At 49.5% G+C, this 12,792-nt stretch overlaps 1 annotated feature.

Annotated features, from left to right (window-relative positions):
* Window positions 11,139-11,891: an enhancer, noted in NCBI's record as "H3K27ac-H3K4me1 hESC enhancer chr1:3369311-3370063 (GRCh37/hg19 assembly coordinates)". NCBI's record gives its function as "activates a minimal SCP1, AML or CMV promoter by ChIP-STARR-seq in primed H9 embryonic stem cells {active_cell/tissue: H9 hESC(primed)}" and the evidence as "EXISTENCE:reporter gene assay evidence [ECO:0000049][PMID:30033119]".

Genomic DNA, 12,792 nt, shown 5'->3' on the forward strand with positions numbered 1-12,792 from the left:
AGCTATCTGATAATGGCCCTATTGTCAGGGCGACCCCAGAGGGAAAGAGAACAGAGACTCACAGAATATTGCTGACAAGTGGACTTTGTCTTCCTGCGCCGGTTCCTCGCATAAAAGACGGAGGAAAAAGGCTCCATTTTGGAAACAGGGAAAAATCAACAGGAGAAAAAAAATGTGTCAATGAGGAATCTGTTTTCTGGGAAAAGAGATGCTTTTTAATTCCCCTTCAGATTCATTTTGGGCCAAGTGAGCTTGTCAGTTATTTGCAGAGAAGCTATTTTGAGAAGCATTAACCTTAATTCTCATGGCAGCAAAAGTCTTCCAAAAATCAAAACGTGTCCTCATTTGGGGTAAAATGGCCAGAGCGAGGGTGGCTTTTGTGCAGACAGAGGTGCCCAGAGAAAGGTGTCCCACAGCATAAGTTGCTCAAGGGGGACTCTGGGACAGAGGCAGCCACCAGCCCCGAGCCTGCCTGCCATCCCTGCTGGTGGAAGGGGTCCGGGCTCTCCACGGCGGGACAATGTCTCCCACAAGCCTTGGTCCTCATTCAGGACAGGGAAGGCAGATGGAATTCACTCCCCCAGTTCCAGGGAATAAGAGAAAGAAATTCTGAGATGACAAGCAGTGGACCAGAGCCCGGGCATGACCTGAACCCCAAAGAGGCGCTGAGGTCCACCCAAGAACCGGAGGGAGGGAGCTGGCTCTTCCTCTGTCCCGCATTGGGGTATGTGGTCCTGGATTCCTGAGCCGATCAGGCCACCCAGAGGCTCCAGGAAGCCAGAGAGGCAGGACAGAGCAGGGTCCAGCTTTAAGACGCGGTGAACAGCAGGCACTCATCCCTGTAAGATCTGCACACCAGCGCCCATGGCAGCCTTGTCATCACAGCCCCAAGCCGGGAAGGGCCCGAACGTCCACCCATTGGTGCCTGCAGGAACTATGCAAAGGAACGAAGACTTCCCAAATGAGAACAGGCAGAGGCCGCTTACTCAGAGCTTGTTGTAGCTAGACAGCCAGCCACCATTGCCTGCCTGGCAGAGCCTCCAAGGCAGGCGGGGGGGTGGGAAGCTCCGGAGTGGAGATGGGGAGGCTCCAGGCGAGCCCCAACGGAGGCTGTTGGCCTGGGGAGCTGGAGGTGGCTGACCAGAAGGAGGTGTCCTTTGGGATTAGGGAGGGGACCTGTGTAGAGGTGGAATATGAATTGAAGTGGGGACAAAACCTAGGGAAGCCGTCAGTTGCTAATCAAGTGTTGGCCATTTGGGGCTGGCTGCGGCAGACGTTAGTGCTTTTCACTGCTGCAGACTGTGAGCCAGTGTTGTTGTTTTTTTTTAAATAAAATTTCATTATTAAAGCAGTTTTAGGTTCACAATAAAATTGATCAGAAGGTGCAGAGATGCCCCATGTGCTCCCAGTCCCCGCACGTACACAGCCTCCGCCATTGCCACCGTCCCCCATCTCAGCAGATGAGCCTGCATCCACACGTCCTCACCCACAGTCCCCGTCGGGGCTCACTCTTCGTGTACATTCTATGGGTTTTGACCAACGTGGACACCACATCAGCGTCATACAGCTGGGCTTCACTGCCCCAAAATTCCTCTGGGCTCTGCCTCTTCATCCCTGCCGTCCTGCAACTCTGGGCTCTGCCTCTTCATCCCTCCCGTCCTGCAACTCTGGGCTCTGCCTCTTCATCCCTCCCGTCCTGCAACTCTGGGCTCTGCCTCTTCATCCCTCCCGTCCTGCAACCCAGGCAATCCGACCTTCTTATTCCCCACGGTGTTGCCCTGGCCAGAATGTCATGTCGTTGGAATCACAGTGTGTAGCCCTTTCAGATTGGCCTCTTTCACTTAGAAATATCCATTTAAGCTGCCTTCATGTATTTTATTTTTCTTTTTTTGAGAGGGAGTCTTGCTCTGTGGCCCAGGCTGGAGTGCAGTGGGGTGATCTCAGCTCACTGCAGCCTCTGCTTCCCGGGTTCCAGTGATTCTCCTGCCTCAGCCTCCTGGGTAGCTGGGATTGCAGGCGTGCTCCACCATGCCTGGCTAATTTTTGTATTTTTAGCAGAGATGGGGTTTCACCACGTTGGTCAGGCTGGTCTCGAACTCCCAACCTCAGGTGATCCACCTGCCTCGGCCTCCCAAAGTGCTGGGATTACAGGCGTGAGCCACCCCACCCGGCCTCCTTCATGTCTTTTCATGGGTTGACCACTCATGTCTTTTAGCACTGAATGATATTCCACTGTCTGGATGGACCACAGTTTATTTAACCTCTCACCTACTGAAGAACATTGTGCTAGCTTCCAAGTTTCGGAAGCCATGAATAAAGCCACTATAAAGGTTTTTGTCTGGATATGTTTTCAACTCCTTTGGGTGAACAAGGACTGTGGTTTCTGTGTCATACGATGAAAGCGTGTTTACATTTGTAAGCAAACACCAAACCCTTCCAGAATAGCTGTACTGCTTTGCATTCCCATCAGTAACGAAGGAGGGTTCCTGCTGCTCCACATCCTTGCCAGCACTTGGCATCACCTGTGTTCTGGATTTAGGCCGTTCTAAGAGACGTGTAGCAGCATCGCAATGGGGCTTTAATTTGCAGCTCCCTAATGGTGCCATGTGGAGTGTCTCCCCACTGCTTCCTTGCCTTCTGCAGATCTCCTCTGTGAGGGGTGTGTTCAGGTAGCCACTTTCTTATTACTGAGTGTGTTCTGGTTCTGCACATGGTCCGGACTTTGGTCCATTTCACCTCTGAAAACAGTGATCCATCCATTGGAAGGAAGACCGCTCAGCAATGATGGGACAGCCGCTGGAGCAGGCCTCAAAGCCACGTGGCTGAATCTCTAAGCCAGTGAGCCAGTGAAGGGAGCCACGTGCTGGATGGTTCTGTACAACTGACGTCTGGAAAAGGCAAAGCTACAGGATGGGGTGCAGATCCACGTTGGGGGCGCAGACGCAGGGGACTGACTGCGATGGGCACGGCAAGACTTCTAGGGGTGACCGACGCGTCCTATATCACGACCGTGGTTACACAGGTATACATTCATTAAAACTCACCTCGCTGTATATTTTAAAAGGATGATTTTATTGCACGTAAACTGTGCCTCGATTAACCTCATTTGTCAAAAACTGTGTGTCCCACCCGTCCCCACTTTAAGGCTGGGGTCTGTCATGGAGCTGCCGTTCCTGGAGGCCCTGGTGCAGCTGAAAGCAGCACTTTACACCCAGGCTCCCCGCCTTCCCGCGACCTACACTGCTAGGCTCACCCAGGCTCCCCCCGCCCCCAGACCTACACTTCTAGGCCAGCTGGCCACCCCACCCTTGGAGAGGCTCTTCCCCCACTAAAGCACAAGCTGACCAGCTGCAAGCCCAGTGGGTCCTCGTGACTGGGGGCATGGGGCGGGGTGGAAGGGTGGGTGGCAAGGAGCAGAAAGGGTCTGTGGCTTTGCTAAGGGCCAGTGCCGTGGGCTCCCAGCCTTGCCTGGCCCCAAGCCTTTGGCGTATGCCTACTTCCAGCCCCTCCCAGTCAGCACAGAGCTTCTGAGCAGATTTTCTGCTTGGTATCATTCACAGAGTTTAAAAACACACAGAGCAGCACTGTAGGCTTTGATGGTTACATATGCCCATAGCAAGGGAACAAAAACGTGGTATGAGATGGATAAATACCAAATTCTGAGTTGTGGTTTCTTCTGGGAAGAAAGGGAGGTGGTGGGCTGGGGGCCGGCGGGAGTGAAGAGGTTTGGAGGGTGGGCTTCAATTTCATGTGCCGTTGTAGATGCTTCAGGGCCCTCTAAATCACATTCAGGTCGTCTGCAGAGTGACAGAGACAGAGAGAGGAGAGAGAGAACGAGACAGAGAGTCACTGTTACATCCTGTTTTACGTTTTGTTGCCTCACTGTGCAAGCCAGGCCAATGTTGAGTGGCAGTGCTCAGAGTGCACTTACTTGCCAGGCTCAAGATCCCAAAGAGAAAGTCATCCATTCTCCAGCGTCAGGTCTGCTGTGAGCTATCGGGTGCCCTTTATGACACTGAGCAAGTGACCTTCCGATTCTACATCACTGAGATTTTTATTTTAATAGGCGTTGTTGGGTTGGAGCGAATGCTTTCTCTTCACCTGTTGAAAAGTTATATGATTTTTCTCCTTCACTCTGTTAATGTGGCAAATGACACTGACTGAATTTCTTTTCTTTTTCTTTTTTTTTTTTTTTTGAGACGGAGTTTTTATCACCCAGGCTGGAGTGCAGTGACTCCATCTTGGCTCACTGCAACCTCCGCCTCCCAGGTTCAAGTGATTCTCCTGCCTCAGCCTCCTGAGCAGCTGGGATTACAGGTGCTCGCCACCATGCCTGGCTAATTTTTTGTATTTTTAGTAGAGACGGGTTTTCGTCATGTTGGGTAGGCTGGTCTTGAACTCCTGACCTCAGGTGATCCACCCGCCTCGGCCTCCCAAAGTGCTGGCCACTGACTGATTTTCAAATATTAAACCAACCTTGCATTCCTAAGATAAGCATCATTCGATCATGAGATGTTACTGATTATATAATAGCTGGATTTGATTTAATATTTTATAAAATAATTCTGTACCTATATCCATGAGGAATATTAGTCTATAATTTTGTTTTCTGGTGACTTTTTAGTATTGGTGTCAGGGCAATACTGGCCTCATGAAATGAGTTGAGAAATGTTTCTTCTTCTTCATGTTTCTGAAAGAGGTTATGCGAGATTGGTATTATTCCTTCCTTTTGATTGAATGTTTAACTGAATTCACCAGTGTTGTCACTAGGGCCTGGAGTATTCTTTGTGTAAAGGTTTTTTTGTTTGTTTGTTTTTTAATTAAGAATTCTTACCATAAGTTTAGGGATTAAAAAAATTTAAAAAACAGGCCCTGTGCAGTGGCTCTCATCTGTAATCCCAGCACTTTGGGAGGCTGAGACTGGCAGATCACTTGAGTTCAGGAGATCAGCCTGGACAACAAGGCAAAACCCCATCTCTACAACAAATTTAAAAATTAGCTGGGTGTGGTGCATGCTTGTGGTCCCAGCTACTCAGGAGGCTTGAGGCAGGAGAATTGCTTGACTCCGGAAGGTTGAGGCTGCAGTGAGCCGTGATTGCGCCACTGTACTCTCGCCTGGGTGACACAGTGAGACCCTGTCTCAAAAAATAGTAATAGTAAATAATAAACAAAATATAAAATTGTATGTTTTCAATAGATACAGTGCTATTTTGATTTTCTATTTGTTCTTATGCTAGTTTTGATGATTTGTGTCTTTTAAGGAACACGGCCATTCCATCTAAGTGATTGAATATATTGGCAAAAGTTTACTCAGAATATTTTCTTATCATTTTAACATCTGCAAGATCAGTAGTGGTGGCCCTCTTTCTCTCCTGATATTGGTAATTTGAGCCTTATCTCTTTCTTTTCTAACCTCGTATTATCAATTGTATTGATCTTTTCAAAGATAACCTTTTATTTTATTGAGTTTCTCTATTATTGTCTATGGTACTGATTTCCATTGATTTCTTATTTTTAAATTTACTTTGGTTTTAATTTGCACTAATTTTTTTTCACTTAAAGATGGAAGCTTAGATCAACTTTCAACATGTCTTCTTTTCTAACAAGCATTCAAAGTCATCAGTTTCCCACTAAGCACGTTAAGGGCAGTCCATACATTTTCATATTACGTATTTTCATTATAATTCAGTTAAAATATTTTCTAATTTCTCTCCTGCAATTCCTTCTTTGACCTTCAGATTACTTAAAAGTGCATTGTTTAATTTCCAAATATTTAAGAATTTTTCAGATATCATTTTGTGATTGGTTTCTAATTTAATTGTGTTGTCAGAAAACACACTCTGTGGGATTTCAGTCATTTTAAATGTATGCAGGCATGTTTTATGGCCTAATACGTGGTCTGTCTTGGTGTATATTTCATGTGTACTTGAAAAGAATATGAATTCTGGAGTTGTTGGGCACAGCGCTCTATAAATGTCAATTAGGTCAAGTTGGTTGATAGGGTTGGTCAAGTGTTTTATACCCTTGGTGATTTTGCTATCTAGTGTCCTATCAGTTGTTGAGAGCAAGTGTTGAAACTTTCAACTATACCTGTGGGTCTGGTTTCCTTTCAGCCTGGTCAGTGGTCATCTGCTCGTGTGTATTTTGAAACTGTTATTATGTGGATATGCACTTAGGACTGTCTTCTTGACCAACTGAATCCTTTATTATTACAAACTGTCCCTTTTCCCCATGGCAATATTCTTATTCTGAAATCCGCTTTTGTCTAATATCAGCATTGCCATGCATGCTTTCTTGTGACTAATAGTTGCATGCGTATCTCTTACTTTCCTTTTACTCTCATCCTATCTGTGTCTTTATATTTGAATCACCCTATCTAATAAGCATCATGTCACTGGGTCTTGCTTTTTATCCAGTCTGACAATCTCTATCTTTTAATTGGGGTGTTTAATCCATTCACATTTAATATAATTATTGGTATGGTTAGATATAGGCTACCATCTTGATATTTGTTTTCTATTTGTCAGATCTGGTTTTCGTCTTTTTTTCTGTTCCTCTGCCCTCTTTTGGATGAGTATTTTCTAGGATTCAATTCTCTCTTCTCCCTGGACTTATTAGCTGTAGCTCCTCACCTTAATTTTTAGTGTCTGATCTAGAGTTTTCAGTATTTATCTTCATCATTGTCTATCTTTAAGTGATATTATACTCACTGTAAAATATACAAACTTTACTCTGGTATATTTCTATTCTCTCCTCCTGCATTTTGAACTTTTACTGTAATATATTTCACTTTTACATATAAATTTGATAATACACTGTCGTTATTTTCACATTAGTCTCTGATCTTTTAAAGAACTGTTTTGGGCCGGGTGCAGTGGCTCACACCTGTAATCCCAGCCCTTTGGGAGGCCAAGGCGGGCAGATCACAAGGTCAAGAGTTCAAGACCAGCCTGGCCAAAATGGTGAAACCCCATCTCTACTAAAAAGATACAAAAATTAGCCAGGCATGGTGGTGTGTGCTTGTAGTCCCAGCTACTGGGGAGGCTGAGGCAGGAGGATCACTTGAACCCAAGAAGTGGAGGTTGCAGTGAGCTGAGATCGTGCCACTACACTCCAGTCTGGGCGACAGAGTGAGACTCCATTTAAAAAAAAAAAAAAAAAAGGAATGTTTTGAAGCACAGAAAAAAAGCCTCTCACATTTATTGACATATTTGCCATTTCCAGTGGGTTTCTACTCCTTGTGCAGACCTGAATTTATATCTGGTATCATTTTCCTTTCGCCTGAAAAAATTCCTGTGACATTTCTTATAGTGTGGGTCTACTGGTGATGAATTTTCTCAGCGTTTGCCTTAACATGTCTTTATTTTCCTTTCATTTTTGAAGGATATTTTCAAGAGAAATGGACATCTTGGTTGACAGTTTTGTTTTCTTTCAGCACTTTAAAGATGTTGTTGTAGTTCTCTCAGCTTTCAGTGTTTCTGATGACAAGCCAGCAGTTATTTTGGTCTTTATTCCCTTACGATTTTTCCCTCTGTCACTGGTTTTCAGCCATTTCATTATGAGGTACCTTGGTGTGGTCTGCTTTGTACGTATGCTGCCTTGACATCTTTGTACTTATTCTACTTCATTTTAAGGTCCTTGATTCTGTGGATCTATGAGTTTTTATTACATCTGAAAAATTTTCAGCCATTCTTCCTTTTTTTTTTTTTTTAATAAGACAGAGTCTTGGTCTGTCACCCAGGCTGGAGTACAGTGGTTCAATCACAGCTCACTGGAGCCTCGACCTCCCTGGGCTCAAGCAATCCTCCCACCTCAGCCTCCCAAGTAGCTGGGACTATAGGCATGCACCACCATGCCTGGCTAATTTTTGTACTTTTAGTAGAGACAGGGTTTCACCATGTTGCCCAGGCTTGTCTCGAACTTCTGGCCTCAAGTGATCCGCCCGCCTCAGTCATGCAAAGTTCTGGGATTACAGGCGTGAGCCACTGTACCCAGCCATTGCTTTAAACATATGTTCTTCCCTCCCCACTCCCTCCTTTCTGGTCCTCCAGTTACACATATTGTTAGACTGCCTGATGCCTGATACCGTCTCAAGGTGGGCAAGGCTCGGTTTCTGCCTTTTCCCTAGGTTTTTCCTCTGCGTGCTTCAGTCTGAGTAACTTGTCCTGGCTTCAAGTTTACTGATTGTTTTCCTCTGTAGTTTCATCTGCTGTTAATCTCATCCAATAGATTTTTTGTTTCCTACACTGTATATTTTCATCTTTAGGATTTCCATTTGATTCATTATTATACTTTCCATCTCTCCTTTGACTGTGATCATCGTTTCCTATAAATCCTTGGGTGGTGTGTGTGTATATATTATATATATGTGTGTGTGTGTATATGTGTGTCCGTGTGTGTCCGCGTGTGTGTGTGTGTGTGTGTGTGTGTATAGAGAGAGAGAGACAGGGTCTGGCTCTGTTGCCCAGGCTGGAGGGCAGTGGTGCGAGCTCAGCTCACTGCAGCCTCCAAATCCTGGGCTCAAGTGATCCTCCCACCCCAGTCTCCTGAGTAGCTCACCTAGCTAATTTTTTGTATTTTTTGTAGAGATGGGGTTTCACCACGTTGCCCAGGCTGGTCTTGAACTCCTGGACTCAAGCAACTCACCATCTCAGCCTTCCCAAGTGCTGGGATTACAGGCATGCGGCACCATGCCCAGCTGATCCTTTGGGGTATTTTTGATTGTTGTTTTAAATGCCTTCTCTGCGAATCCTGTCATCCGTGTCATTTCTGGGTCTGCTTCTACTGACTGATTTTTTTCCTAGTTATTTGTCACAGGTTCCTGTTCCTGCTTCTTCACATGTCTAGTAATTTTGCATTGGGTGCTGGAGGTCGTAAATGTGTAATTTTGCATTGGGTGCTGGAGGTCGTAAATGTGTAATTTTGCATTGGGTGCTGGAGGTCGTAAATGTGTAATTTTGCATTGGGTGCTGGAGGTTGTAAATGTGTAATTTTGCATTGGGTGCTGGAGGTCGTAAATGTCAAATTGTTTGAGTTTCTGGATTTTACTGGCCTTCTTTTCAAGCATGTTGAGTGTTATGCTGATGCACAGTTAACGTACTTGTGGATCAGCCTGGTCCTCTCAGGACTTGCTTTGAACTTCTGTTAGGTCATGTCTAGAGGAGCTGTCACCCTAGGATTACTTCAGCCCTTCACCTAGGACATGGCCTTCTTTGGTATCTACTGAATATTCTGGGTGGTCAGGATTTTTTCCCTCTGTCCCTGGTTTTCAGCCATTTCATTATGAGGTACTGTGGTGGGGTCTGCTTTGTACGTATGCTGCTTTGACTTCTTTGGACTTATTCTCCATTGCTTTGAGGTTCTTGGATCTGTGGATCTACAAGTTTTTATCACATTTGGAAATTTTTCAGACATTCTTTTTTTGAGACAGAGTCTTGGTACAGTGGCTGGAGTACACTGGCTCGATCATAGCTCACTGGAGACTCGTCCTCCCCAGGCTCAAGCGATCCTCCCACCTCAGACTCCCAAGCGGCTGAGGTCAACGAGGGATAGTCAGCGACGGTGCTTCCTTCCTGGTGGCTGACGTTCCAGCGTCCCCTGGCCTGGTATGAACTCTGGTGTCACTCTGCTCACAGAGCTCCCTGGTCGCTGTTGGTCCCTGGCTTCATGGGATCTTACTCTGCTTATGCACAGTTCAGTATTCAGCCAAAGGCTCAAGTGGACCCCTGTGGGGATTTTGGGGGCTCCACTACGTCGCTGCCTTCTCTCCAGGACTCTTTCGGGGCTCCCCTGCACTGCTGCCTTCTCTCCAGGACTCTCTCCATAGTCCTTGGCCTCCTTGGCTCCCCAACTCTGTCCCCTGTAGCCCAGTGAGGCCACCAGCCTCTCTTGGCCAAAGGCTTATTTACCTCTTTCTCCAGGAATTTCTGTCTCTGCACCTGTTGTCCAGTGTTAGAAAGAGTTGTTTCTCGTATTTTTTGTTCCATGTTTGAGTTGTTTGTGGTGACAGACAAGTCTGGTACCGACTACTTCGTCATGGCCAAAACACCTGACATGTTTTAAATTCTCAATTTGGGGAAGATACATGGGGTTGCTTTTATATATTTTTATATAAAAATATAAATACTATATGCATGTCTTTGTAAACCAGAAATGGTCCCTAATGATGACTAGGGATCCTGGGCTTTGGCGTCAGACAGACCTGGGCTCTAACTGTGGCTGGGCCACTTACCAGCCAGGTAACAAGGGGCAAAACATTTCTCCTCTCAGTTAAGCGGGGGGCATCTGAGGGGCTTTCTGTAAGAATTCACTAAGATGACGCGTGCAAGGCCCCCAGCATGAGGCTGGCACATAGTAGGTGCTTAATGGGAAGTAATGACCTGCTATTTTAGGGTACAAGGAGGAGGGGCATTTGCTCCTCAAACCCAACCTTCTTCCCACCAGCCCGGCCCCCCCAGCCATGGGCCTCCACCCACCCAGCAGAGGCGTCTCTGTCCTCCATCCCACTCACAGCCGCGCCCTTGGGGCCCTTTCCCAGCTGCCTACGGGCTGGAGAGGACACCCATGGAACTGCAGTGGGTAACAGGGCAGCCCAGCGTTGAGGGCCTGAGAACTGAGGGCTGTCATGGCCTTCCCTCCACCCCGTGTGCTCCTTAGGGCCCCAGGGAGGGAGGGGAGCAGGTGGGAGCACCGCCCACTCGGCCTGGCAGGGAGGACAAACCTGCCCAGCAGCCTCAGCTCACCCTCAGCCCTGGACACCTACCCTGGAAGGTCGAGCCAAAAGGCCTCCCGAGGGGCTGCTGGCCTCAGGTACCACCTAAGGCTACGGGCTGTCTGTGCTGTGGCCCCAGTGGCTGAGTAAAAGCTTGGAAAACTCAAAGCAAGGCCCGCAGGAGCTCAGGCCACCTCAAGCCGCAGGAAAGGAGCTCTGCTCCCGCAGATAGAGGTGTGCTTTCTGGCTGGCACACTGGTGCTCGGCCAGAGCGCTGCCCACCCTACAGCAATGCACAGTGGCTGTTAAGCTTGGGGGATCCACATCTTCTCCCCTGCCAGTAATGTGGGAGGGGAAGGCCCCCAGGGCAGGCTGAGCCACAGGCTCGGGATCCCACCACAGAGGTGCAGGAAGTGCCACGGGCCGACCCCACTGGCAGGCCTCCCACTGGCAGGCCTCCCCGGAGTCTCTCTCTCCTTGCGAGCCCCTTAGGTCTCCAAGCTGGTTCCTTCCAACCTCTCCCTTAGGCCTCATGCCAGGGCGATCTCCTGCGCCAGCATCAGGCCCTCATTTACAGCAGAGGTGACAGAGGCACAGAGAGGTCCTGACGCCAGCTCAGGTGACATCCCCAGCAAAGGGACCATCCCAAGCACACGCTGAGTGGCCTCTGGAAGCCAGCAGGACATGGGGAGACGAAGCCAGACCCAGGGTGGCTGAACGGGCCCAGCAGGGGCTGGACAGAAGGTGTGGGGTTGGGGGTAACTTGGAGGCAGCTACTGAAAGAGGGTTTTACAGGAAAGCACTCAGTGGGAATCAGGAACCTGGGTCCTGCTGACTGGCCTGGGGCAAGGCTTCTGTCCCCTCACTGGGCCTCAGTGACCCCACCGCACCTCAGTCCCCTCACGGGTCAAGGCTCCGGGACACCCCAGCTCCCTCCGGCAGGCCGGGCCTCGTCGGTGCAGTACCCATCATGGACTCAGGAGGGCAGCAGCCACCTGCCTTTCCCAAGAGCTGCCTGGAAGTGGAACCTCCCCACAGGCGGCTCCAGGTGGAGGCTGCAGCCCACAGGGGTCAACTCTTAGCTCCTCCCTCATCCACCCTCCCTCCCAGGGGATGGATGGCCCACGGGACCCATCCCTGAGGCCAGCCTGTGCCCTGCCCAGATGGCACCTGACACCCAGGCAGCCCCAGCCACAGGGCAGACATTGGGGGACTAGTGGGTGGGGCGACCAGAGCAGGAGGGGCAGGGCAGGCCGCCCCTCTACCTATGACACCTGAGAAAATGCCAAGTGACAGCCCCAGAGCCTGTGGTGTCTCCTCAACCCGCAACGGGATCTCACGGCCGCCCAGGCCAGGGAGGCAGGTCCTGGGAGGAGGGTGGTCAGTGCCTCTGGCTGGCACACCGGTGCCCGGCCCACGACCCCAAGGCCTGGGGTCAGTGAGGGGACGCTGGTAGAAGCTGACCCAAAGCCCAGTGTGGATGTTCACATGGAGGCCTTTGGCAACAGGCCTTTCCTGAAAAGGGGATGATGGAGGCAGGTCAGAAGTGGGTCTGAGCCCTGGGACCTCAGGTCACATTCCTGAATGGCCAGGCCCAAGCTTGGGAGGCTTGGCTCAGCCCCCAGCCCCTCCCACAGCACCAGGTGGCCTGATTCCTGAACCCCCAGCTGGGGGGCTGCTGCAGCCTCTGCCCGGGGCCCTCCCTCACTTTCACACGGGTTCCCAGCAGGCGGAGCAAGGAAAGGCCAGGCTCGGAGTCCAGGCTCAGCCTTGTGCACGAGGGCGAGCGCCTTCCTTTCCAGGACTCGGTCCTTCTCTGTGAAATGGGGATGACCGCGACTCAACCACACCAAAAAGGTGGCCAGAGTGCTTTGCGCCCTCTTGGCTGTCTTTGGCCGCCTGGCTTCCAAGAATCCAGAGGGCCGGGCCTTTCTACAGCAAACATCGGTCCCCGCAGGGCTGGTCTCCTTCCCCGAAGGCTTCCTGGAGGAGGCAGTGGAGCGGGGCCTGGAAGGACAGTGACGCAGGAGGGAGCCGAGCCGCTCTGGCCCCACGCCTGGCAGGCGACTCCCGGGCCGGCC

Source organism: Homo sapiens, chromosome 1, assembly GCF_000001405.40.
Source record: "Homo sapiens chromosome 1, GRCh38.p14 Primary Assembly".
Taxonomy (NCBI): domain Eukaryota; kingdom Metazoa; phylum Chordata; class Mammalia; order Primates; family Hominidae; genus Homo; species Homo sapiens.